The sequence below is a fragment of the Homo sapiens genome, chromosome 20, assembly GCF_000001405.40.
Source record: "Homo sapiens chromosome 20, GRCh38.p14 Primary Assembly".
Lineage (NCBI taxonomy): Eukaryota > Metazoa > Chordata > Mammalia > Primates > Hominidae > Homo > Homo sapiens.
Window position 1 is genome coordinate 48,762,402 of NC_000020.11, and position 26,918 is coordinate 48,789,319.

The 26,918-nt window shown below is 49.0% G+C and overlaps 1 protein-coding gene across 4 annotated transcripts in view, besides 9 other annotated features; it reads right to left on the minus strand.

Moving 5' to 3' along the window:
• Nucleotides 1–26,918, minus strand: part of PREX1 (phosphatidylinositol-3,4,5-trisphosphate dependent Rac exchange factor 1) — a 263,934-nt gene that overhangs the window by 138,150 nt on the left and 98,866 nt on the right. The gene's annotated exons all lie outside the window — the stretch shown is intronic.
• Nucleotides 496–1,271: an enhancer, noted in NCBI's record as "H3K27ac-H3K4me1 hESC enhancer chr20:47379434-47380209 (GRCh37/hg19 assembly coordinates)". NCBI's record gives its function as "activates a minimal SCP1, AML or CMV promoter by ChIP-STARR-seq in naive H9 embryonic stem cells {active_cell/tissue: H9 hESC(naive)}" and the evidence as "EXISTENCE:reporter gene assay evidence [ECO:0000049][PMID:30033119]".
• Nucleotides 2,485–2,663: a silencer, noted in NCBI's record as "fragment chr20:47381423-47381601 (GRCh37/hg19 assembly coordinates)". NCBI's record gives its function as "represses an EF-1alpha promoter that drives an FKBP-Casp9 reporter gene in an ReSE screen in K562 erythroleukemia cells {active_cell/tissue: K562}" and the evidence as "EXISTENCE:reporter gene assay evidence [ECO:0000049][PMID:32094911]".
• Nucleotides 9,483–9,704: a silencer, noted in NCBI's record as "fragment chr20:47388421-47388642 (GRCh37/hg19 assembly coordinates)". NCBI's record gives its function as "represses an EF-1alpha promoter that drives an FKBP-Casp9 reporter gene in an ReSE screen in HepG2 liver carcinoma cells {active_cell/tissue: HepG2}" and the evidence as "EXISTENCE:reporter gene assay evidence [ECO:0000049][PMID:32094911]".
• Nucleotides 19,384–19,433: an enhancer, noted in NCBI's record as "active region_18040". NCBI's record gives its function as "activates an Ori minimal core promoter by ATAC-STARR-seq in GM12878 lymphoblastoid cells {active_cell/tissue: GM12878}" and the evidence as "EXISTENCE:reporter gene assay evidence [ECO:0000049][PMID:35858748]".
• Nucleotides 20,854–20,943: an enhancer, noted in NCBI's record as "active region_18041". NCBI's record gives its function as "activates an Ori minimal core promoter by ATAC-STARR-seq in GM12878 lymphoblastoid cells {active_cell/tissue: GM12878}" and the evidence as "EXISTENCE:reporter gene assay evidence [ECO:0000049][PMID:35858748]".
• Nucleotides 21,644–21,693: an enhancer, noted in NCBI's record as "active region_18042". NCBI's record gives its function as "activates an Ori minimal core promoter by ATAC-STARR-seq in GM12878 lymphoblastoid cells {active_cell/tissue: GM12878}" and the evidence as "EXISTENCE:reporter gene assay evidence [ECO:0000049][PMID:35858748]".
• Nucleotides 26,018–26,077: an enhancer, noted in NCBI's record as "active region_18043". NCBI's record gives its function as "activates an Ori minimal core promoter by ATAC-STARR-seq in GM12878 lymphoblastoid cells {active_cell/tissue: GM12878}" and the evidence as "EXISTENCE:reporter gene assay evidence [ECO:0000049][PMID:35858748]".
• Nucleotides 26,658–26,717: an enhancer, noted in NCBI's record as "active region_18044". NCBI's record gives its function as "activates an Ori minimal core promoter by ATAC-STARR-seq in GM12878 lymphoblastoid cells {active_cell/tissue: GM12878}" and the evidence as "EXISTENCE:reporter gene assay evidence [ECO:0000049][PMID:35858748]".
• Nucleotides 26,818–26,917: an enhancer, noted in NCBI's record as "active region_18045". NCBI's record gives its function as "activates an Ori minimal core promoter by ATAC-STARR-seq in GM12878 lymphoblastoid cells {active_cell/tissue: GM12878}" and the evidence as "EXISTENCE:reporter gene assay evidence [ECO:0000049][PMID:35858748]".

Here is a 26,918-nt window from a genome sequence, read left to right on the forward strand (position 1 = left end):
CCCTGCCCTCTACCCTCTAGATACAAATAACAACCCTCCTCTCCTCAGTTGTGACAATCAAAAATGTGTCCAGACATTGCCCATGTCCCCTGGAGGCAAAATCATCCTTGGTTAAGAACCATTGCATTATAGCAAAGCTAAGAAAATGGCCTCTAGACAGAGCCAAGTATTTTGGGTTCAAATCCTGGTTCGGTCATTTGCTGGCTGTGTGACCCTAAACAGCCTCTCTGTGTCTCAGCTTCCCTCTCTATGAAATGGGGATATAAAAATGGTACCTGACTGCTAATGGTATGAAGTTTCTTTTTTTTTTTTTTTTTTTGAGACAAAGTCTCGCTCTGTCACCCAGGCTGGAGTGCAGTGGCACCATCTCAGCTCACTGCAACCTCCGCCTTCTGGGTTCAAGCGATTCTTCTGCCTCAACCTCCCAAGTAGCTGGGATTACAGGTGCATGCCTCCACACCTGGCTAATGTTTGTATTTTTAGTAGAGACAGGGTTTCACTATGTTGGCCATGCTGGTCTCAAACTACGGACCTCAGGTGATGCACCTGCCTTGGCCTCCCAAAGTTCTGGGATTACAGGCGTAAGCCATCATGCCCAGCCAATATGAAGTTTCTTTCTGAAGTGATGAAATGGTCCTAAAATTAGATGGTGGTACAACTCTATGAATATACCGAAAACCATTCACCTGTACACTTCAAATGGGTAAACTGTATGGTGGTACGTGAATTATATCTCACACTATTACACCAAAAGAAGAAAAAAGAAATAGATACCTGCATCACGGGGGCATGGGGAGAATTTGATGGGTTAGGATAAAATGCACTAGGAAGCACTGTACGAACTGTAGCCCTTATCGTCAGCACCAGCCCTCGCCCATCTGGGGCCTGCATGGGCGTGTGGCTGGAAGGAAAAGCCTCAAGTGACGGAGACAGTGGTGGCTGGGAACAGGCCCTGCTTTGGGTGGCATTTCCCGCCGGAATGTCCTGGACAAAGAGAACCAAGTCACTCGGGGCCCCAGGATGCAGGGCGGGGTGGCTGGACATCCTGGGGTCCTTGTGCCTGTCTGCAGCAGGACAATGAGTGGAATGCGGTCTCCTCTCTGTGGGGCTGACACTTGACATCTGAAGACAATGACTTTCAAGAGGTTTTGTTTTTTCCTCAGTCCAACTATTTTTTTTCCATCTTCCCAAACAATTGTTCCTGGGGCTGGAGGGCGAGCAGTCCCCCCTTAGCTGGTGAAGGATTGTATTTGTAGAGTCAGGAAACAATGCACAAAAGTGAGAGAATGTAAAAATAGTGGCATTCAGGGCCCAGGCCTCAGTGAGGGAGGTGCAGCCATGGAGGTTTCCTCCCATTGATTTTTCCCAGAGCCTGCTCGGCCCCAGGGAGGGAATTCTGGCAGCAGAAGGGCCAGTCTTAGGAGTACAGACACTGGCTGCTTGGCTGCAGCTTGGGGTCTTCAGTTTAGGGAGTGTCAACTATGTACCCAATGCTTCCCACGATTGCCTCATCCTAGACAATCTCATCTCCATTTTACGAAAAAGGAGACCGAGGTTCTCAGTGGCTGACGCGGCAGCCTCAGAGCATGCAGCTAAGCAGACAAAGCTGGCCTCTGACCTCGGGGCCATCAGAGTCCAGGCTCTGACTTTCTGCCACATCCACTCTAACCCTCTCTTGCGATCTCAGCTTCCCTGACCAGCCACTCACTTCCCACTAGTGATGGGGCCACATCATTAAAGTTGTGACCCCCAAGCTCCACAAGGGAAGAAACTTCTGTCCCTGGAGCCCAATACAGTGCCAGGCCTTCTGATCCAACGTGAAAGGAGGGAGAACTTGCAGGACAGAAAGGACCCAGAGCTTGCAGACATCAGAGGACTCTCAGAGAGGCCCCAACAGCCCTTGACCATTGTGGTGGGCTGAACAATAATCCCTCAAAGACGTCCACATACTAATCCACGGAACCTGTGAATACACCACCTTCCATGGCAAAAGGGACTCTGCAGATGTGATTAAGGTAAGGATCTTGGAAAGGGGGGGATTATCAATAGCATTGAGGTGGGCCCAACATAATCACAAGGATCCTTAAAAGGAAAAGAGGGGCTAGGCACGATGGCTGAAGCCTATAATCCCAGCACTTTGGGAGGCCGAGGTGGGTGGATCACTTGAGGTCAGGATTTTGAGACCAGCCTGGCCAACATACCAAAACCCAATCTCTAGTAAAAATTAAAAAATTAGCCAGATGTGGTGGTGCACACCTGTGGTCCCAGCTCTTGGAAGGCTGAGGCGTGAGAATTGCTTGAACACGGGAAGCAGTGGTTGCAGTGAGCCAAGATAGCGCCACTACACTCCAACCTGGGAGACAGAGCAAGACTCTTTCTCAAAAAAAAAAAAAAAAGAAAGAAAGAAAGAAAAAGAGGGAGGTAGGAGAGTGAGTGCCAGGGGTCAGAGGAAGACCAGAAGACGCTATGCTGCTGGCTGGGAGATGGACGAGGCCACAAGCCAAGGAATGCAGGGGCCTCTGGAAGCTGGAAAAGGCAAGGAAACGGATTCTCCCCAGACCCCCCAGGAGCACAGCCCTGCTGGCACCTTGATTTCAGCCCCGTAAGACCCAGTTCAGACTCCTGACCTCCAGAAGTGTAAGATAATAAATCTGTGCTGTTTAAAGGCACAAGAAACTAATACGACTGCTAGCTCGAAACATGTACACGAAAGAAAAGCAAACCTGTTGTATCTCCATGAATCACGGCCAAACACAATCCTAATACTCTGTTATTATGATTACTACAAAACAGATATTATCATACAGTCTAGCTATACATTTCATACATTGTTTGGCATATGTTTAGTAAGCTGCAAAATGCTTTCTTTCCCCACCCACAAAAGTATCTACAAACAAATATTCATTAAGGACAGATGGTCTAATAACAGTAATTACTATAATAATTACAGCAACATCAAGTATCTTTCACTATTCAGATCTATTCAGTTCCTGAGTTTAGAAAGCAAGAAGCCATTTAGAAAGATCAGATAAGGGAAACCTTGGGATACTAAGCTGTCAGAACTAGATAATGCCTGCATTTCCAATGAAACGTGGACACGACAACCAGCTGCAACACATATTAAGTGCTTACTGCATGCCAATGCCAGGGGTACAGGAGGAAGCGACTCCTACACCCCCATTTCACAGACAAGGAACAGAGTTATTTGCTCAAAGTCATGCAGAGGAGGAGGACGGAGCCAGACCTAAGTGCAGGCCCCAGGGGCTTCAGAGCCAAGTCTCTTTCCCATGGGGCTATACTGCTTCTTCAGTTCAAAAATTGGGAGAATTTAATTAGGGGAAGGAGAATAGTGTAGCCTCGTGGGAAGACCAGGAGTTGGGAGGCCTAAATCAGCGTCCCCAATCCCTGGGCCGTGGGCTGTTAGGAACCGGGCCACACAGCAGGAGGTGAGCAGCAGGCAAGAAGCAAAGCTTCATCTGTATTTAGAGCCATCCCCATTGCCCGCATGACCACCTGAGCTCCGCCTCCTGTCACATCAGCAGCAGCATCAGATTCTCATAGGAGCACAAACCCTACTGCAAACCACCCATGCCGGGGATCTAGGTTGCACCCTCCTTACGAGAATCTAATGCCTGATGATCTGTCACTGTCTCCCATCACCCCCAGATGGGACTGTCTAGTTGCAGGAAAACAAGCTCAGGGTTCCCACTGATTCTACATTATGGTGAGTTGCATAATTATTTCATTATATGTTACAATGTAATAATAATAGAAACAAAGTATACAACAAATGTAATGTGTTTGAATCATCCTGAAACCATCCCTTCCCCACCCCTAGGTCCGTGGAAAAAAATGTCTTCCAGGAAACCCGTCCCTGGTGCCAAAACGGCTGGGGACCACTGGCCTAGATCACTTAGGCATCCCTGGGTGGAGTGACACAAAGGGATCGTCACAAAAGGCAAATGTGGTCACCCACTGCCCTGCCCAGCCCATCAGCCGCTCCCCGCTTCTCTGAGAACCCCATCCAGAAGGGCTCTGCAGGACCTGACCTCAGCCTCCAAGCTGTGCTGCAGCCAGACCGGCCTCCAGGATCCTCAGCTGTTCCCCAAACACACCCAGCTTGCTCCTGCCCCCAGGCCTCAGCACAGGTGCTCCCTCCACCTGCAACACTCATCTCCCTCCTGCCAGCTGCTTCAAGTCTCACATTCCCTGCCCTCCCCAGTGAGATCCAAGGTTGGTCAGGGCCCAGGAAACCCATGCATAGGCTCCCATACTTAGTGCCACCATGACTATAACTTAACCTTGATTTATGTGATGATTCAATTAATAACAGGCTTGCCCACCAGCCTAAGACCTCTCAGAGGTCCCACTTAGTCCCAGTTTCCATCTTCTTTCATTTATGCTCATTCTTGGTGAGTGAGTGGATGGACGGGTAGAGGGAGGGAGACCCCTTTCTCTGGGGCAGGTTCCTCACCTGTAAAATAGACACTGTGTGATAACACTGCCGGCTTCATGGATTACCATGAGGACTACGAGAAATGCTGCACACTAGCTGAATGATTTCAGATGACTGATTCCTCCTCTCTGGGCCTCAGTTTCCCCATCTGCACAGCGCCCACCACTCAGGGCCTGCTGACCTGGTTGCCAAATGTAGCCCTGCCACAGACTCGCTGTGGGACCCTGAGAAAGCTGCTCCCACACTCTGTTCCCTCGTCCGCGAAACGGGGAACAGTGGTCAGATGAGAGGATCTCAAAGGGCTCCCAGCTCTGGGGCTATGAGGTCAGGCCCACACATTCTAACCACCTCGACTCCCTGCCTTCCAGCCAGACCAGTGACAACCAGCCACACCACAGACTACGACAGCTCACCAGGGATTCTGCAAGGGAGTCTTTCAATGGCTCCTTCCCTGGGGGACCTGACTATGGGACAGAGCCCCCGAGGAGGGAGGGGAGATGATGGAACCAGAGAAGCATGAAGAAGCCCCCTCAAACGAGGGCCCTGAAGAGGGGATGGCTGAGAGCTGGAAGATGGAGGTTCTGGTGTCAGACAAGCTGGTTCAAGTCCCCACCTGTCAGCGGGGGAGGGTACGTGGGCCTCTGAACCTCAGTTTCCACCTAACTCAGAGAAGGAAATAGATAACGAACCCTAACTTCAGAGTCGCACCAGAGTGAAATGCCAACGCTTACGTTACCATCACTGATGGGGTTCTTATCTGTCAGTGCATCGACGTAAAAGCAGCCCTCTCCAACTACAGACCACGCTGTACTTTCCCGACATTTCCCCAGAGTCGTGTGTCTCATTCCACTGCAGCCCCAATGCCTAGTCTGCCCTTCCTAGGTCACCCCAGGCTTTTTCTTACCTCAGGGACTTTGCACGTGCTGTTCCCCGCCCCTCATCGTCACTGCACAGGATGCTCAAATATCACCTCCACAGAGAGCCTCCCCTGACCATCCTGGCTGAAGCAGCCTCACCCAAGCCACAAGTCGCCCCCGAGCCACCCTCTACCTCGATAATCTGTTTTAATTCCCTGTAATGCAGGTAGCACAAAGTGTTGTTCTATGCATTTTGCTAATTTAGAGTCCTCCTCTCTGCGCACTGCCAGCTCCGTGATGGTGAGGGTCTCTGGCTGCTTGTGCTGAATCCACAGCATGGGTTGAGGTAGACAGAAGATGCTGAATAAATACTGGTTAAGAGGGGAAAGGAGGTGAAGTTCCATAAGCCTCCAAGCTTCCATTCCTATGTATGTAACACAGAGTAAAAGCCTCTATCTCTCAGTGTTCTTTTGAGGATTCAAGGAAATATCACTCAAAACATAAAGTGCTTAGCACAGAGAATGGAACACAATAAAAACTCAAATTTTAAAATTACCAATGTCCATCAACAGGAGAACGGATGAACAAATGGTGGTGTTCTCACACAACAGAAAATGATTCAGTAATCAAAAGAAAATTGCTAACACACGCAGCAAACTGGACGCATCTCAAAAACATGGCCCAAGCGAAAGAAGCCAGACACAAAAGGGTGCAGCCACCCGTGGGATTCCACATCTACGAAGTCCCAAAACTGGCAAGACCCTTCTTTGATGACAGAGGTTAGAAAAGCCGTCACTCGGCCGGGCCCAGTGGCTCACGCCTGTAATACCAGCACTTTGGGAGGCAGAGGCGGCCGATCACTTGAGTTCAGGAGTTCGAGACCAGCCTGGCCAACACGATGAAACCCCGTCTCTGCTAAAAATATAAAAATTAGCCAGGCATGGTGGCTACTCAGGAGACTGAGGCAGGAGAATCATTTGAACCCAGGAGACAGAGGTTGCAGTGAGCTGAGATCATGCCACTGCACTCCAGCCTGGGTGACAAAGCGAGACTCTGCCTCAAAAAAAAAAAAGAAAAGTCGTCATTCAAGGCTGGATAAAGACTGGCAAGGGGCTCAAGGGGACTCTGGAGGCAAAGAATGTTCTAGATCTTCACCTGGTGGTGATGCATACGTAATCACCAATGGAGCTGTGCACTTCACTGTCTGTAATTATCCTGCAACAGAAACTATTCCCTTTTTTTTTTTTCAGCAAAGGGTTTAAAAGGAGATTGTCACCGTCCACCCTGGTTTGTCTACTGTCCACGCATGGGTTGTCCTGGCTCAAGCCCTGAGGGCCAATACATCGTTCTGGCTTCAGGCAGAGCCAGACCCCATTCCCATTCCTTCTACAACTGTGCATCCACGAAGCCCTGGCTTCTTTGAGGCCCGTTGCCAAAGAGACGAGCCACCCTCCACACACACCCCCTCGCTGCCTCCCAACCCTGCTTCTAAGAAGATTCGGGAACAGGAAGCCTGTGTCTGCTCTCAGGTTCTGAAGCAAAGAGGCTGGGGGTGGTGGTGCGGGGGAGGGGAGATGAGGGGCTGCCCCGTTGAATGAGACGTGCCTTGAATCCTGAGGGGATCCTCTCCAGGTGTGTGAGAGGTGTCCCCCGCCCACCACAGGCACAGGGACAGCCACAAACACCTACTCTACCGTCGTCGCTGGGGCATCTCTAGGAGCCCCAGCACCCACTAGGCATGGGGCCGGCTTCGTACATCAAAGAGCCCTTGCATGTTGCCTTTCTGCTTAAAATCCTCCAACAGAGGCTGCGCTATCAGAATGAGCTCACACTCTGTGACCTCACCTCCTACGCAACTCCCTTCTCCCTCATCTCCTCCCACACTGGCACCCTTGAAGGTGCAGAAACACATGAGACAGGCTCTTGCCACAGGACCTTTGCACTGGCTGTCCCCTCTGCCTGGAACGCCTGTCACCACGTAACCACATGACTCATTCACTCTGCTCCTTCAGGTCTCTGCTCAAACGTCACCTCCTCAGTGAAGCCTGCCCTGCCCACACCATTGAAAACTGCCACATCTTCCCAGCAGCCCAGCCCTCTAATTTTGCTTCATGTTTTTCCATAGCACTTACCACCTGAGAACACTACAAATTTTCCTTGGCTGACACCTTCACTGTCTGTCTTCACTGCACACACGGTGAGGGAGAGAGCTTTTGTCTGTATTGTGCACTGCGGCAGCCTGGACACTCAGTACACAGCAGGTGCTCCATAAATCACTTGTAAGCCCAAGGAGGTAAATTTGAGGTTTATCACGGAATGGACTTTCTAAAATTTTCTGCAGGATTTCAATTGTCTGCTAAGAATATGTGCTATCTTTACCAATTAAAAAGAACAATTAGAAATCTGGTTTTAAAAGCCAGGTGGGAGCCATCTCTAGGTCAGTGGGTCTGATGCCCAGGAAGCGGGCATAAGAATTACCTGTCAAGCTTTTCAAAACACATGTTTTGCCCAGGAGGTATACCAGGAAATGACAGTCTGACTCAAGAGGTCTGGAAAAGCCAGGAAATCAGCTCTTTTTCCAAAGCTCCCAGATAACCCTGAAGGGCTCCAGGAGGTACACGAACCCGAGAATGGGCAGCAGGGCAGGGAAAGCAGCTCAGAGGAGGTCAGGGAGGACCCTGAGCATGACCTTGACAAACAGGCAAGATCTGGCCAGCCAGGCACAGTGGCTCACATCTGTAATCCCAGCACTTTGGAAGGCTGAGGCAGGTGGATCACCTGAGGTCAGGAGTTCGAGACCAGCCTGGCCAACAAGGCAAAACCCCATCTCTACTAAAAATAAAAAATTAGCCAGACATGGTGGTGCATGCCTGTAATCCCAGCTACTTGGGAGGCAGAGGCAGGAGAATCACTTAAACCTGGGATGCAGAGGTTGCAGTGAGCCAAGATTGCTCCACTGCATTCCAGCCTGGGTGACAAAGTGAATCTCCATCTCAAAAAAAAAAATCTGGCCATGCAGAAGTGAGGAAGGAAAGGAAACTGGAGACCCAGATTTGCAAACCTTTGCAATCACAAGGCAACCCCTTGGCAGCCCTAATCCATGACCCTCAGGCTACAGCAGGCGTCTGAATCACCTGGGGCACTCAGTGGAAATGCTGATTCCTGGGCCCTGAAGACTGAGAGGCTCCAACGCAGTGGGAGAGGGAGGAGCCTGGGCATCTGCCTTGTTAACATGCTTCCCCAGGCACCTGCGATGGGGCACCAGGTTTAGAAGGTGCTGGTTGAGTCTTCTGGTTTCAGTATGTACAGTTGCCTTTCATCAGGAAAATTAATAAAGTCATAGGAAGAAAACTGGAAATCACACATTCTGACAGTGCCCACTGTCAATATTTCAACATGTCACCTTCCATGGCGTCTCCTGCAGTTTTTAGGCATGGCTGTCATCACCGGTTGCACATAATTTTGCATGTCACCTTTCCAGTGGTCCACAGTGGCTAAGGAAATGGGTGTGGCTCATGTCCCTAACCATTTCCCTATCCGACCTTTAGGTTGTTGCCGATTTTGAGCGCTCACAGTGGTGTTTCAATGAGTAACCTGGTACATAAAAGTATCTGGGGATTTTCCCCCCATGCTTAGGATTTTTTTCAGCAGTGGGATCCCCTGCAATTCCAGGGGAATCACTGTTTGGGAGTCTCTTGTTGTCTCCGCTAAGTGTTTTGCCAAAGGGTTTGCACCAATTTATTGCTCTAAAATGATGCCAAAGGCAACAAGTTCTAGCCGGGCGTGGTGGCTCACGCCTGTAATCCCAACACTTTGGGAGGCCGAGGCAGGTGAATGGCTTGAACCCAGGAGGCAGAAGTTACAGTGAGCTGAGACTGTGCCATTACACTCCAGCCTGGGCGACAGGAGCAAAACTCCATCTCAAAATAAAAAAAGGCAACAAAAGTTCAAGCCTTATCAGCCGTGCAGCCCCATCACCATGCGGAGGAGGAACCCGAGGCCCAGCTGATGCTCATTAAGAATTCCTTCATGCCGGACACGGTTCCAAGTGCTTTCTCAACAGAAACCCATAAATCCTCACCACAGCCCTGTGGGCAGGGTGTGATGCCACGCACTAGCATAGAAGAAGCATTCAGCAAGCGTGTTTTGCTATTATTATTACTTGCATTTGATTTTCCTCTAAAAATGATGTGTCTAGGCTGGGCGCGGTGGCTCCCATCTATAATCCCAGCACTTTGAGAGGCTGAGGTGGGCGAATCACCTGAGTTCAGGAGTTCGAGACCACCCTGGCCAACATGGTGAAATCCCATCTCTACTAAAAATACAAAAATTAGCTAGGCGTGGTGGCGGGCACCTGTAGTCCCAGCTACTCAGGAAGCTGAGGCAAGAGAATCGCTCGAACCTGGGAGGCGGAGGTTGCTGTGAGCTGAGATCGAGCCACTGCACTCCGGCCTGGCTGAACAGAGCGAGACTCTGTCTCAAAATAAATAAATAAATAAAATAACTAAAAAAATAAAAAAGTAAAAATAATGTGTCCAGCCATATCACTGAGCAAAACTGGGGTTCCAGAAAGCTGGGCCAGGTTTCTTGGGTGGCACAGGTATGGCCCTGCAGGGTGCCCATGCCCCCAAGAAGGCGCAGGTGCGCAGCTCGTGGCAGCCCTGTTTCTGGTGAATCAGGCCGGCCCCTGTCCCTGTGACACTGGGTGAGACGTGCCCATGGCCATACCTGCAGAAGAGATGCCCCAGCCCAAGCAGTGCCATAGGAGGACAGCACTCCAATGCCCCAAATACTGCCCCAGCCACCAACCACGGGACACAGACCCAGCAGTTCCCTTTTTCTCTTTGCGGAACTTCCCACCACATCAAGCTGGAAAGGAAGTCGGCAGCTCAGCGGGAGGAAAGGCGACAGTATACAAATCGCTTCATGTCTGCTGAGGAAATTTACTGCCCTGAAACTGAGGGCTGAGGAAGGAGGAAGGGGCAGAGCAGGCTGGGCTAGGACTCACCCTGTCCACTGCCGTCCAGCCAGGATGGCCGCATGGCTGAGTGCCAAGGCCAATGGCGAAGTTGTCTGGAGAAATCAAAACAAGTGTACTCAGGGACCACATATCCCTGGGCAGGTCACTACGTTCGCCGACCTCAGTTTTACTCATCTGTAAAATGGGCAAAACAGGATCCACAACAAGAGCTACTAAAAAGATTTAAGTAAGAGAGGACCTGTAAAGTGCTTACCAGCACACAGTAGGTGCTCAAGAAATGTCCATAACTGGCCAGGCGCGGTGGCTCATGCCTGTAATCCCAGCACTTTAGGAGGCCGAGGGAGGCAAATCACCTGAGGTCAGGAGTTCAAGACCAGCCTCGCCAACATGGCAAAACCTCGTCTCTACTAAAAATACAAAAATTATCTGGGTGAGGTGGCAGGTGTCGGTAATCTCTGCTACTCGGGAGGCTGAGGCAGGAGAATCACTTGAACCTAGGAGGCAAAGGTTGTAGTGAGCCGAGATCACGCCACTGCACTCCAGCCTGAGTGATAGAGTGAGACTTGGTCTCAAAAAAAAAAAAAAAAAAAAAAAAGGAAAGAAAAAGGAATGTCCATACCAATTATTAAGTTCAAGCTTCTCATCCTGGCATCTAGCTACCACATCCTACCAGAGGCACCTCTGGCCTCCAAGTGCCCCACACTAGCCCCTTTCCTGATCACCGCTAAGCATGTGATGCACCAGCAATGCACCAACCACAGAGCAGCAAGGAACTGTCTCAGGACAGAACCTCTGGGACCTCATTCATTCATTCAGCAGGTACTTACTGAGAAGCAGATGAGCTGAGACTGACATGAAGAGGTGGGGACATGTGGCTATCTAGGGGAGACTGTTCCAGACAGCAGGAATACCACCTGCAGAGGAACTGAGGCAGGAGTGAGCCCGGTGTGTTCAAAGAACAGCAAGGAAAGCTGAGAGAGGGCGAGGTGAGAGCAGGAAGAAACGAGGCAAGAGACTTAACCAGGAGCCAGAATGTGCAGTGCCTTCTGGGCCACAGTGGGGTCTTCAGCTTTTCTCTGGGTAAGGTGGGAGCCATGGAGGGTTCTGAGCAGGGGAAGGACAGGATCTGACCTGAGTTCTTAAGGGGCCATCTGGCTGTGTGTGAACAACAGACTGTAGCAGGGAGCTCAGGAGGAGTCTCCTGCAATCGTCCAGGCGGGAGGTGATGGAGGATTTGACCAGGGTGGTGGTGAGCTGTGGTCAGAATCCAGAGGTATTCCAAGACAGAGCCCACGGGATTTTCTGAGAGATGGGATGTGAGGGACGAGAGAGAGGGAAGTCGAGGCCGTCTCCCTGGTTTCTGGCCTGTACCACTGGCAAGGATGAAGGCCACTTTTATTGAGACAGGAAGACTGTGGTTTGGGGGGCGGGTAGAGAGTTCAATCTCGGACATTTTAAGTCTGACCTCACGCAAGGCAGTCTGGTGAAGGAGACAGACCGTCCGTCAGCAAATCCTTGCACAATGTGCATTCAACTGCAATCGTGCTGAGTGCTGGGCAGGGTGACCTAGGCAGAGGCATTCAGTGAAGGCTGCCTGGAGGAGGACACCAGAGCGGAGGCCTGAAGGCTGAGGAGCTGGGGACACACGAGGGAGGGGTTGAAAGCTGCTATCTCTGTGTGTCTTCCACTTTCCTCATCACTTCACCTCCCACTTCACATCCAGTGAGGACAGAGCCCGAGAATGAAGGAAGTGTGGTTTCTGGGGTTCAGAGCTCTGGGGTCAGACAGAGATAGCTTCAAATCCCAGACCTACCCTTTTCTTGTTGCATGGCCTGAAGCTGGTGCCTTCACCACTCCCTGCCTCAGTTTCTACATTCATAAAAGAGGGTGATTCTGCCATGTTTTCAGGGTGTGTCAGGCTCTGGAAACCCAGATAAAGATGCCCACCTCTCTCCCCCAACCTGGGCACCTCCTTCCAGCCTCAGTGAGAAGCTGCTTTGCCAGGGAAGCTGGAAGGATGTGACAGGGCAGGGAGTGGCTGGACCCGCACGGCTGAAACCACTGGCTGAGGCCACAGATCCAGGCAAATCTCCGGCCCCTCCGCTGCCCTGGCCAGGCACATGGTGGCCCACAGAGATTTTCCATCAGGTCAAAACAGGAACTCCATGGAAACGCACAGCCTCAGCCTGCCATGGGGCAAGGTGTTTTTCCACAGAGCGAGGCTGAATTCAGCGTTAAATGGCTCTGCAGGGTGGCAGGGGCCACTACCCTCCGAAAAGAGAAGCAGGTACTAGCCAGTGGGAGACAGGAACCTGCTTCCAGCCTCAGCTTTGGGGAAACAGGCACCTATACCACACCCTTGCTCACACGGTTTCCACCACCGCACACGCTGCTCCTGCATCCCTGACCACACCAGGCACTCATTGGTTCTCTCGGCAAATGACGCATGTAGCACGTCCAGAAGGACAGGCACTGCTGTAGGCCCTGGGGATGAGCATGAACAAAAGAGATGAAGCTCCTGCCCTCACGGAGCTGATATTCTACAGGGGTGGAGCTGGAGCCAGGGAGATTCACCAGAATAGACTGCGAAGCCTTACGAAGAAATCAAGCAGGAAAGGGAGAGATAAAGCAAGGAGACGGGTGCTTTTTTAAATGTGGTGGCCAGGAAAAGCCTCCCTGATAAGAACACGTCCAGCTGAGACCCAGATGAGGTAAGGAGGTAAGCCATGGGTTACCAAGGGAGAGCACACCATGGGCAGTGGGGCAGCAGGGGCCTGCTTGGTGCACAGGGACAACAAGGAGACCACAATGGCTGGAGCAGAGTGAACAGGTGAGAGTAAGGACTGGGAAAGGGGACTCAGGCAGGGGGTGATATGGTTTGGCTGTGTCCCCACCCAAATCTCATCTTGAGTTCCCACATGTTATGGGAGGGATGCAATGGGAGGTAATTAAATGGGGGCAGGTCTTTCCCGTGCTGTTCTCGTGATAGTGAATAAGTCTCAAGAGATCAGATGGCTTTATAAGGTGCGGTTTCCCTGCACAAGCTCTCTCTTTGCCTGCCGCCATCCATGTAAAATGTGACTTGCTCCTCCTTGCCTTCCACCACGATTTTAAGGCCTCTCCAGGTGTGTGGAACTGTAAGTCCATTAAACCTCTTGCTTTTGTAAATTGCCCAGTGTCGGGTATGTCTTTATCAGCAGTATGAAAATGGACTAATACAGGCGGTTTTGGAAATCTGGGCAAGAAGGTAGGTGGGGGCCAGAGGTGCAGCTAAGGAGACAGGGTTCTGTTGTAAGCTCAGCAGGCAAGGCCCTGAGGAAGGAGGGCTCTCACATCTAACAAGCAGGGGGAAGAGACAAGCATCACATCCTCACCAATGGAGGTGAGCACAGTGACCTTTCCCCTGGACGGTAGAGGACCCCAAGGCCCAGCTGGAGACTCCCCTCACCCCCTGAGGCTTATTTTCCCCCTCTGTAAAATGGGGACACAAGTCCTGCCCAGCCTCCTGCAGGGGCATCTAATGAGGAATGAGGCTAAAAGAGTGAAGCTAGAGTCCGGGTCATCCTGGACCACAACCTCAGGGCTGCTCTGGCCCCTACACCCCAACAGCCTCCCAGGTTCTAAAGTCCAATGTCCCCCATGGACCCCGCCCCCCTCAGACAGCCGAGACAGGCGCTCTGAGAGCCAAGATGTCCAAGGAGGTGGCACCTGGCAACCAGATGCCTGCTTAGCAGCTGTGGGAGGGGATGGCAGCTGGACTCCTTGGCAACCAGCCGCTGGAGCCTGGAAGCCAGGCATCACTTCAGAGGGGGAGTCCACGGGGCGGGGCTGGGGACAGAGTTTCTCAGGCTCCTTTCTAAAGCACATGACTCACAGGCCCTCGGAAAACCCAGCAGGCCCCTGAATTCCAGAACACTGCTTGTAGGGCTGGAGGCCTCTACTTTGCTCTCTGCCTGGAAACTACTTAGTGTCCAGTCACTGAGGTATTTGCTCCCATGGCCACTCAGTCTCCTCTCTGGAAGGGAGACCAATGCCTACTATGCGGGCACACGTGAAGATTCAGCATTAACACAAAAAATCAGAACAGCAGGCATTCAGGAAGCAGCTACCCTGTGCCAGGCTCTGTGCTACGTATTTCTCCTAAGAGTCAGTGGTAGTACTGTTAATCCCATTTTACAGATGAGAAAACTGAGGCACACTCACAGGTAAAGCATCACACACAGCGAGTGGCAGAGCCAGAGACTGACCTCCACTCCAGGCCCATAACCACTCCAACACCCTGCGATGTGCGAAAGGTCCGAGGGGTTTCTCCCGCCCCTTGGTCCAGTCAACAAGTAATTCCACTCATCAATATGAATAATAATAGTTGCTGTTGTTTATTGGCAACTATTTAGCAACTGGGAAGTGAGCTAACGTTTATGAGCAACGGGGAAGTGAGGTAAGTGGCCCACAAAGGCACACTGGGAAGGGGGAAGTACAGCCTAAATACAGGCTTTCTGATGCCAAAACCCGCCACACCACACGAGGCACAAACACCAGACCAGGTCTGAACAACATGAGCTGGTCATGCCCCAATTCTCTAACTCTCCAGCCTCCAGCATGAGGCCCAGGAGCCCCCGGCCACACACCACCATTCTCTTGAGGGTATGAAGGCTTTCGCTGGAATCCCAAACCCAGACAGTGAACGGAAGGCTGTTCAACCCCAGCAACCTTCAGAACTGACCATTACGGTTGATGCTGATCCCATGCCTACCACCCAGAAGTGCCTACAGACAGGGCCTCCGGCGGAATCCAAGGCTCCCTAACATCACATCACAAATATCTGAGAACAAAACTTGACAGCTAGAGTCAGGCAGGGAGGTAAGAACCTGAAATGCTGTTGCCCTCAAGAGGTTAACAGTCTCAAGGTAGCCACAACCACACATAATGGACTCTGATATAAAGACCAAGGCCTGAAGGGTCACGGCAAAGCCAAGCTGTATGGCTTGGGGCCGGCAGCTGTACCTCTCTGAGACTCTGCATCCACATCTGTAAAATGGGCATAACGACAGCAGTACTCTGTAGTGACAAAGACCTGCGGAGAGGCTGTGGATCAAGAACTAAGAACAATGCCAAAAACACAGCTCTGACTGGAAGTGGGGTTGCTATCATCATCATCAGCAGCAGCAGCATCATTATCGGGATTATCAGTATTTCAGATCCCACAGCCAGAGGTGCCCAAGACGTCTACACCAGGGGCTACAAACACCAATGCCAACAGAAGCCATGCAAGGAAAGTGACTGAGTGAAGCTGGCCAGGAGTAGTACAAAAGGGAAGGGTGGGGACTGTGGCAAACTGGAGAGCAGACATCCATCTAAAGGGTAAGCTGTGACTGTGTTCCAATCAAATGTCGCCAGGCAAAAGTACAGCCGGATTTCTGTTTCCCTACAGAAATTGGAAAGCCATATTTTTGCAAAAAAAAGTCCTACTTTTAAAACCCTGTGCTACTTAATTCTAATATGTTCATGGTAAGGCAAAGAAACTAGAATAGCCAAAACAATTCTGTAAAAGAACAGTGTTGGAGGATTCACATTATCCAGTTTTAAGAATTATTATGGCCAGGCACAGTGGCTCATGCCTGTAATCCCAGCACTTTGGGAGGCCAAGGCGGGCAGATCACTTGAGGTGAGGAGTTCAAGATCAGCCTGGCCAAAAGGATGAAATCCCGTCTCTACTAAAAGTCAAAAATCAAAAAAAAAAAAAAAAAATTAGCCAGGCATGGCACACGCCTGTAATCCTAGCTACTCCAGAGGCTGAGGTGGGACAATCGCTTGAACCCAGGAGGTGGAGGTTGCAGTGAGCCAAGATGGTGCCACTGTACTCCAGCCTGGGTGACAGAGTGAGACTCCGTCTCTAAAAAAAAAAAGGAACTATTATAAAGTTACAATAATTATGATGATATGGTACTGGTGAAAGGGGAGACACACAGATCAATGGAACAGAAAAGAGAGTACAGGAATTGACCCACACAAATATGGCCGTTTGACTTTTCATAAGGATGCAAAGGCAATTCCGTAGAGAAAGGACAGTCTTTTAAACTGTTGCTTTAAACCAATGATCTTGGAACAACCACACACGATATGCAAATTAATGAACCTCAACCTAAACTACACACTTCATACAAAAGTAAACTCAAAATGGATCACAGATCTAAATTCAAAACATAAAACTTTAGAAGAAAACAGGAGAAAATCCTTGTGACCTGAGATTAAGAAAAGAGTTCTTAGATGTGACATTAAAAAAAGCAAGATCCGTAAAAGAAGAAAAGGGATAAATTAGAACAAAAATGAAAACTTTTGCCATGCAAAATACACTGTCAAGAGAACAAAAGACAAGCTACAGATGGGGAGAAAATATTTACAAATGACATATCTGACAAAGGATTTATATTCAGAATACAACCCTAAATTAACAAAGGAAACAAGCCAAAATTTTTAATGGATTAAAAAACTTGAACATTTTCTTCACCCAAGAAGTATATAAATGGTAAATATGCACATGAAAAGATAGGCAGCATCATTAGCGATTAGGAGAATGTAAGTTAAAATTACAATGGGATACCTCTATGCTTCTACTTAAACGGCTTTTGAAAAACCCGACAATACCAAGTGCTGATGAGGATGTGGAACCACAGAATCTCTCCTATACTGCTGTGGGGAAAGTAAATTAGTACAGCATCTTTGGAAAACTTCCCACAAAGTTTTTTGGCAGCTTCCCATAAAGTCAAATATCTACTTACCATATGGCCCAACAACCCTGCTCCTGGATGTTTACCCTAGAGAAATGAAAACTTATGTTCACACAAAAAGCTATACATAAATATTTATAGCAGCTCTATTAAAAATCACCAAAAACTGGAAACAAGCAATTCAACATGTGAATGGATAAACAAACTGTGGTATATCCAAACAAGGGAGTACTACTCGGTAATGAAAAGGAACAAACTGTTGATACACACAACAATGCAGATGAATCTCAAAGGCTTTATGGTGACTGAAAGAAGCCAGTCTCAAAAGGTGGTGTACAGCATGATTCCATTTATACGGAATGTGTATGTTTTAGAAAAGGCAGAACTACAGGGAGAGGAAATGGATGAGTGGTTGTCAGGGGTAACGATGGGGGAAGGTGTGACTACTAAGGGGTGGCATGAGAGTGTTTTTTGGGTGATGGAAGTCTTCTCTATCCAGACTGTAGTGGTAAGTATATAACTCTACATATGTGTTAAAATTCATAAAACTCTAAACCCCCAAAAAGTCATTTTTACTCTATGTAAGCTTCAAAAGTCAAATTAAATGTTTGAAAAATTTCACACTGGGTATCAGTATGGACACTGGGTTTTTCAAATATATGTGCAGATAGAAAGATACAGAAGTAAATATAGATTGTGTAAGTGTCTATACATATATTCCTGGATACCATGGCATCCAGTAACAATGAGCATAACTACTGCCCAGATTAGGTTTCTAAATACCATTCTCCAATTAAAAGAGCTAGGGGTCCTTAAAGAACTGGTTGATTTCAGGGCTGAGGCAGGGAAAATACAAGATGAGCCAGAATATCTTGTGGTTAGATTTCAACTAGTAAAGAAATGCTCAAAAGAGACCAGGTGCAGTGGCTCACACCTATAATCCCAGCACTTTGGGAGGTCAAAGCAGGAGGACTGCTTGAGACCAACAGTTCAAGACCAGCCTGGGCAACACAGCAAGACCCATCTCTACCATCTCTACAAAATAATGTTTTTTAATGTTCAAAAAAAAGAGAAAGAAGAAAAAAAATAGAGGAGGCATGTCAAAAGGGCACGGGGTCAACCAGAAAGAACTCCTAATGGCCAAAGTTGGGACAACTTGAACAACAAAATAAATAATGACAATACTGGTTTATGATAATATAAATAATGGAATGAATCAGGGAGAATTCTTTTTACACAAGGATTTTAGTTAATAAAAGTAGGAGGAGTGAAGGAAATAGAAAGCCACGACTGGAAGACCACAGTAAGAGCTATCACAGGCCAGACCCACCGGTGGATGCTAAAACTAGTGGGCAAAGGTTCAAACAAAAACAGGGTATTTCCACAGTCTCAAAGAATCTCCCCCAAAATGTCTAGTAATTACAAAGGAAAATTAGTAACCTCACCATGGAGTATCCTGGCTTTCACCATCTTAATTAAGTGTTAACATCTCCCCTTGAACATATCAACATCACATGCCCCCTGATTAAAATGCACAGAGAGGGGCACATCGCTCCTGGGGTATCCCTCCTAATTACGCATAAGCTCAAGTCCAAAGTGGCAGACAGTCTACAAAATACCTGACCAGGACTCTTCAAAAAAGTGTCAAGGTCATGAAAGGCAAAGAAAGACTGGGGAACTCTCACAGATTACAGGAGACTAAGGGGCCATGCTATCTAAATGCAACATGGTGCCCTAGGTTGGATCCTGAAAATAAAAAGAACGTTTGTAGGGAAACTAACAAAATTCTACTGAATCTTATAGTTAATAGTACTGTATCAAGATTAATTTTTTCTACTACAAAGAAGTACTTTGTACTTAGGTAATTATACTACAGTAATATAAAATGTCAACGTAATGGGAAGCTGGGTGAAGGATGTACAAGAACTCTGTACTATATTTGCAAGTTTTCTGTAAGCCTACAATTATCTCAAAATAAAAAGTTTCTTAAAGCCCTGTGCTGACCAAACCAAATCACCTACTGGCCAGACAATGCACAACTACACAAGGAATGTGACTCATGGGCCACAATGGTGCAGCCCCTGGCCTACAGCTGACACCCCACTCCTCCCCAAAAGAAGACCCAAGAAGAACTCTGAACTTGGTGCAGAGAAGAGTCCCCAAGTCAGACACCCCCTGCCTCATCCCCCTAATTTGTTTTTCATGGCCACACCAAGAGTCTATAGCTAGAAAAGCACACAGCCTGGTTTGAACCCAGGCCCTGCCACAAACTCACTGTGGAATCCTGGGTAAGGGACTCCCCCTTCCTCTTCTGAAAACAGGGAAGGGGTCCACCTCCAGGAGCTATTATGAAGCTCAGATGAGAATGTCTAGCTATGAATTTGCTACGAATTTGCATGCCCTCATGACCCAGTCACCTCCTATTAGGCCCTATTTCCTGTTGCATTAAGGATTAAGTTTCCAACAATTGAACCTTGGGGGACACATTCAAACCACAGCAACATGTTACAATTGAGGAAATGGAGGCCCACAGATTTTAAATGACTTACCCTGTTACAGATGGTGATGAATTTGTACTATACAAAAATCAGGGGAGCCAATGCTCAGGAGATTTGGACTCTGGGACCACCTGTGCCTTGACCTGGCCACAGATGTCTGGCAAGTCCTTCTCCTGCTGAGTCTCAGGGTCCTCATGGGTGACTCAGTCAACAATTAGCAAAGGAAAAAGTCAGGCTGGGTCACTGATATTGTTTGGCTGTGTCCTCACTCAAATCTCATCTCGAATTGTAGCTCTCATAATTCCCATGTGTTGTGGGAGGGACACAGTGGGAGATAATTGAATCATGGGGGAAGTTTCCCCCATGCGGTTCTCGTGGTATTGAATAAGTCTTACAAGATCTGATGGTTTCATAAAAGGAAACCCCTTTCACTTGGTTCTCATTGTCTCTTGCCCACCTAAGATATGCCTTTTGCCTTCCCCCATGATTGTGAGGCCTCCCCAGCCACGTGAAACTGTGAGTCCATTAAACCTCTTTACCTCTATAAATTACCCAGTCTCGAGTATGTCTTTATCAGCAGCGTGAAAATGGACTAATACACCCATATATCCATTTCTATGAATATGTCCTGTTAAAGTGGTGAGAAAGTCTCATTAAATGTAGAGGAAAGGTTTGGGATGGTCTGGCTTAAAATAATGGCCGGCCAGGGAAGGTCTTCTGAGAAGGGAAAATTTGAGCACAGAACTGAAAGCATGATGAGGAGACCAAGCCAGGGGCAGATCTGGGGAAAGGACTTCCCAGGTAGAGGAAACAGCACAGGCAAGAACCTAGAGGCCGGGCTGTGTTTAGAGGGTCCATGGAGCAGCAGGCTCAATAAAGGATTCTCGCTCTCACTGCAGTGTGATGAGGAGTCCCAGGAGGGGCATCACAAGGGAGAAGAAGTGAACAGGCGAGTGTCATAGTCTAAGGTGGGGTTAGCAAGATCGCTCTGGTTGCTGTGGACAAAAAGGACTGTAGGAGGTGACGGGGCTACAGCAACAGGCCAAGCAAAAGAGGAGAAGGCCTTAAACCAGAGTGCTGGTTAACAGCACAGCCTCCGGAACCAGGTTGCCTGGGTTTACACAGCGCTGCCACTCACCAGCTGCGTGACCTTGGGCAAGAGACTTCACCTCTCCGAACTTCAACATCCTCATTTGTGAAATGAAAAAGAAGGATACATGCCTGATATGGTTGAATGAAGACTAAAGAAAATACCATTTGTAAAGTGTGTGAAAGAGGAAATGTCTGTTAGATGGGGTGGTGGCAGAGAGGGTAGTGAGGATGAGAGGCTTGGAAGGCAGAACAATGAGACTGGCCACTGGATGGGATGGTGAGACAGAAACAGAGGATGGAGAGTGACTCCGAAGTTTTTGGCCTGAGCAAGTGGAAGAATGGAGGTGCCATTAGCTGAGATGAGAGAGAGAGGGAGGAACCAGTTACAGGGGCAAGATGAGGAATTTGGTTCAGCACATGTGTAGTTTCAGGTGTTATTTTAGATCCAAGTAGCAATGGCAAAGAGACAGTGGCCATACCCGGGTGCAATCCAGAGGTGGGGATGGTACAAAGGACACAAGTGACATCACCAGGAAGAGAAGAGGCCCACAGGTGGGGGCTGGCACCCCCAAACCATCGGAACCCAGGAGGCAGAGGAGAAATAACAAAGGACCTAAGCAGATGTACGGGAGGAAAACCGAGAGCCCACAGCACCCTGACACCGTGTCTCAATCATACCCTGCCTGTCTCAGGAGTGAGATTGGTCTCGACTACTCAGCAGCATCTCCCAGAACAAAGACACATCTTAAAATGTTTCTTCAGTATCCACTTCACCACTACCTGTTACCCAAGTACCCCAAGGAAGAAAAGTCATTGTCTTCAAAATACCCCAAATGAGCTGGCCACTTCTAAAGTGATTCCTGCTCAAACAGCTCACCTGCTAATGTCCCCTCCATGTCTTTATGGATCTCACGCTCCTGAATATACCACAGTCACAACACAAGGTGAACGGAAAGCAAATCAGTTGCAAAAGGAAACTGCAAATCCTGCAAAAGATGCAGGGTTTTATGACATCAGTGAAAGTGATGCTGGAGAACCACAGCTGGCTGCCAGGCAAAGCTATAAACAAATAAAGACCCAGGAGTCGCTGGCTCACAATGAGAGTGAAGAAAGCCCAGGAAGACCACATAAGAAGTTCCAAAGGAACTTTTCTGACCATCAGAGAGTGCACAAGAAGTCCAAAAACGGGCTCCAGGGGTTTTGCAAAATGACTCTTTATCATCATGCTATAAAGTGAAACCTTACATGAATGATGTGGCATCGTGTAATCATTTAATTTTATCAGAAAAATTACACATACCCCCAACAGTAAAAAATAACACTTGGTTCCCTCCTTGTTGATTCTAAGAATTCATGCAATGTTGTTATTACATTCTAAATACAGTTACTGACGGGATAAAATTCCACCTATTTTTAGGATTGTGGTTTTCTTCTTCAAAGTGAAGGACTCATCTAGACTCTACCCCCGCCACCCCACATTCTCAATATTGCTATGTTAGGGCCCATTTTCAATGAGTTCTCAGCAGCAGGCCTCATTTTGGTAACAATTATTCTGTGACAGTGAGGCCGTCCTGATCTGCACACTGCTGGACCGAAAGGCCTCCCCCTCTTCCCTAAAGAAGCCCCTTTTCTGGGGGTCAAGAAGCCGACCTGCCCACAGGAACTGGGAGCCCACCAGAAGAGAAAGGCAAGTGGGCGACTGGGCATGAAACCTTGGGAATTAAATGTCCTGGGTCCTCCTGACCCCACCTGAGCCCACAGCAGCTCCTTCCCACTCCACTGGCTGGACAGAAGCAGCCACAGCTCCCTGTGTGTAGCCAGCAGACCCTCCCTTGTGCAATCTCATTGAAGTATATACTTAAAATGGGTAGGTTCTTCCAGATATCATTTCTATTTCTTTCTCTCTTTTTTTTTTTTGAGACCGAGTTTCGCTCTTGTCACTCAGGCTGGAGTGCAATGGCATGATCTCGGCTCACTGCAGCCTCCATCTCCCAGGTTCAAACGATTCTCCTACCTAAGCCTCCCAAGTAGCTGGGATTACAGGCACCTGCCACCACACCCACCTAATTTCTGTATATTTAGTAGAGATGGGGTTTCACCATGTTGGCCAGGCTGGTCTGGAACTCCTGACTTCAGGTGATTCGCCTGCCTCAGCCTCCCAAAGTGCTGGGATTACAGGCGTGAGCCACTGCACCCAGCCAGATATAATTTCTATTTCGATGAAGCATATTTTTTTAAAGTGCTGATCTGCCTGTCAGCCTACTTCCTGCCTGGGGTCTCCTCTGACAAGCCCACAGGAGGTTTACCAGCAGTGGCTGCCCCGCTCCCACACCTGTGATGGGTGGCAGCCAACACCAGCCCAGAGGACACCTTTAGGGCCCACTCATCGAAGCTGCAAAGATGCTGAGCGCCACTGGTACCTCCACTGCCATCCATTCTGCTCAAGAAACTGGCTTTGGGTGGGACCCCCTGGTGGTGCCAAGGCTTGGCTCCAGCCACTGTGACCACCCAAGGTTCCCCAAACTCATCCACAGAGCCTGGCACCAGATAGCAGAGCGGCCAGCCAGGGCTGAGCTCAGGCCTCATCGCTGATGTTCGGACTCCAGGGACACCCCCTCTCACCCTACAGAAGTACCTGTCCCAGCTGGCCAGTCTCTTTGGGCTTTTACCTCCAACCTTCAAGATGTCACCACCTCCACCGGTGCCAGCAGCCCCTCTGCTTTCCCTCAGTAAGCCTGTGCACTCAGAGGGTTTTGATCCAAGGCATCAGCAGGAAAAAAAAAGTGCACCAATGTCCCCAAATTCATTCCATAAATACTGACGAGCCCCCATCATGTGGCAGGCGGTGGAGACGGAGGGCACAGGAAGACAGAGCTTACCTCTAGCAAAGGGAGACAGACAACACAGCAGCAGGCAAAGCCACAGGGCAGAAAGAGCCGGGATGGATGGGCCGGTGCCTTCCAGCAGGGGGTTCAGAAAAGGCCATGAGGAGGGTCCATGAAGACAGTGGGGCCTGAGCGGGCTCATGGATCACAGCAGGAAGAGAATGGGGCTGGGCTGGACCCGAGCATCTGAGGAGCAGCCAGGGGCCAGGATGGCTCTGGGCAGAGAAAGGGGGTGAGTCGGGGAGGTGAGGTCAAACCTGGAATCTAGGCCTGAACAAAACTCCCTGGGAGGGGTCCTGGTGGCATGCTGGGGGCGGGGGGTGGTAAGCAGCTGGACCCCCTTGGAGGACAAATAAGCAACAAATCTATTTGCCTCCTTTCAGGGCATGTAGGTTTTGGACTTTCTAAAGGGCTAGGCAAACCTACCCTTGGGGACCCATCCTACAGAGACCCTAGAACCTGGGCCCAAGACATGACCAACAAGGAGACTCAGGGAGAGGAGGGAGAGCAGGAGAGAAAGAAAGTGGCGGGGAAACGGGATAGGGTAGAAAAGGGAGGATGGGGGCCGGGCACGGTGGCTCACGCCTATAATCCCAGCACTTTGGGAGGCCGAGGCAGGTGGATCACCTGAGGTCAGGAGTTCGAGACCAGCCTGGCCAACATGGCAAAACCAGATCTCTACTAAAAATACAAAAATTAGCTAGGTGTGGTGGTGCACACCTGTAATCCCAGCTACTCAGGAGGCTGAGGTGGGAAAAATCGCTTGAACCCGGGAGGCAGAGGTTGCAGTGAGCCAAGATCATGCCACTGCACTCCAGCCTGGGTCACAAAGCAAGACTCTGTCAAAAAAAAAAGAGAAAGAAAGAAAAGAAAAAAAAGAGAAGAGTAGAAAAGAAAAGAAAGAGAAGGAAGGAAAGAAAAAGAGAGAGAGAGAAAGAAAGAAAAAGAGAGAGAGAAAGAGAAAGAGAGAGGAGGGTAGGGAGGAGAGGAAAGGGAGAGGTGGAGGGGAGGGAAAGAGGAGGAGGCGTGGGAAGGACAAGAGGTCACAAGGATGCGACTCCTGACCCTCCCAGCCCCCCCTCCCCACAACACACTCCAAGAACCTCTCAGAAGCCCCCTTGAGCATAAGATGCTGATGACCCTCTGGGGACCCATTCTCTGGGCCTCACTGGTGGCTAGAAACGTCCAGCAAAGGCTGCGAGAAGCGGGCTGGAAGGCCATTCCTGACACCCTCCTTCCTCACCATGGTGACGGGCGACAGTGCCCACCGCCCCTCAACCCTGGCCCTCCCTGAGGAGGCCTGGGGAGGATTCTTCCTTTTAGCCCTGGAAACAGACCCTGACACTCGTGTCTGCTTCCCCCGATCCCAGGACGACACGGCACTTATGAATACATAAATCTCATAATCATGTAAAAGCTGGCTCTGTCTAGTGATTTCTTTTCAAAGACATCATAAAGGTCCTTTATAAACAAACAAAAAAAAAAAAGAAAGAAAGAAAAAAGGCTGATTCCAAAACATCACACATTACAAGTGTTTGAAGGAACAGCGAATGCCCGCTGGCAGCAAACAGCCCCCGGCCAGCCGGGGTCCACAAGAGAATGTTTCAGAGGCCTGAGCACTCTCGAGCTCATTTACTCTCTCTGCTGCTCCCCACATTATGGATTTATGTAAGCAGGACGACGAAAACCCTCGTCTTCCCCCTTACATTAAAAAAAAAAAAAGCAACCATAAAACAAAAAACAAAACAAAACAAAAAAACATTTTTGCAAGGAATTTTATAAGCTGATCTGGAGAACAGAAGAAGGACTAAGGAAACCCCTAAAGAAGTCTGGTTGCAAAATGTTCTGAAAAGAAAAAACAAACTTTTAACACAGGAACACCCAATGATACATTTTTTAAGTCTAATTTTGAAAAATGATCAAAACACTTTTTTTCCCCAACATTACAAATTACAAGTGGCCACCAGATGCTGGAGGAGGGAAATATGGCTGTGGTTTGTTTTATCTTCTCTGTTTTTAAGAAACCTCAAAATTAGGGAAGTCACATATACACAAGCAAAGGCAAGGCAGGAAAACTGCCGATGTGGGAGCTAAACTTCACTTGCAGATGGCGGAGGCTTCGAGATTAACGCACCCAGGAATCAGCCACATCCAGCCCTAGAGCGGGGGACCATGAGAGAATGTGTGCAAACCCAAATTGAACTTGTAATTCACTTGATGGATTTAAAAGGCCCGTGGGAAGTTTTCTGTAAGCCGGGAACATTTTGCTGCTAAGAAAGCCCCACCACCCAGGGAACAGGCGGGCAGTGTCCTCGAGCCTTTTGCAGGATAGAGGCAGATGTTTGGAGATATGATGTAACCTGGGTGAGTGAATTCATTCAAAGATGAGTCATGAAAGCAGCCCTCAAATGTCCTTCAGAAATCTCAGTAGCAGAACACAGAGCTTGGACCCAAATGCCCACCTACCACCCTCAAACAGGAAGCTCCCCTCTTTCAAAGAAGCTCTGGCCCTGAGGATGATGGCAGGCTTCAGCTCTTTGGCCACCAGCTTCTATTCCCTCATTTTACCGTAAAGTACCCTGATGCTGCTTGAAAGGTGTTGCTCATCCCCCACCTGAGGCACACAGAGCACAGGATGAAGCCAATTCTTTGTACGTTGAGCCCCTAGATCAAACTCTACCTGAAGCTGTAGGTCTAGCTTCATGGGCTATTATACTTCTTCTCTTATATGAGTCTGACTGGTTTGGGTTTTCAGTCACTGCTATGGTTTGAAGGCATCCCCCACATTTCATGTGTTGGAAACAAATACCCGCTGTGGCAAGATTCAGAGGTGGGGCCTGTAAGAGGTGACTGGCTCATAAGAGGCTCTGCCCTCATGAATGAATTAATGCATTCACGGATTAACGGGCTAATGGATGAATGGGGTATCATGGGAGTGGAACCGGTGGCTTTGTAAGAAGAGGAAGAGAAACCTGAGCTGGCGTGTTAGTGTGCTCAGCCCCCCTGCCACGTGATTCCCTAAACTGCCTCGAGTCTCTTTAGAACCCCCAAGAACGTTCTCACCAGATGTGGCCCCTCCACCTGGGACTTCTCAGCTTCCATAACTGTAAGAAGAAAGTTTCTTTTCTTTATAAATTACCCAGTTTCAGGTATTCTGTTATGAGCAACAGAAGATAGACTAAGACACTCACTCACACATTGAGCCCCACCATGCAAGGATTAAATAAAACCCTGACTTTAGCTAGAACCTTCAAAGTTCGGCCATGTCTACCCCTTCCAAATAACCACCAATTCAGAATGGAACAAGTTCCTCCAATGTCATGGAAGGTTCCCAGCTTCACCCAACTTCACAGTGCGATCTACCATCTGCTTCCTCAACATCTCCATCCACCTTCATCACGGGACAACCTGCAGAGCCTCA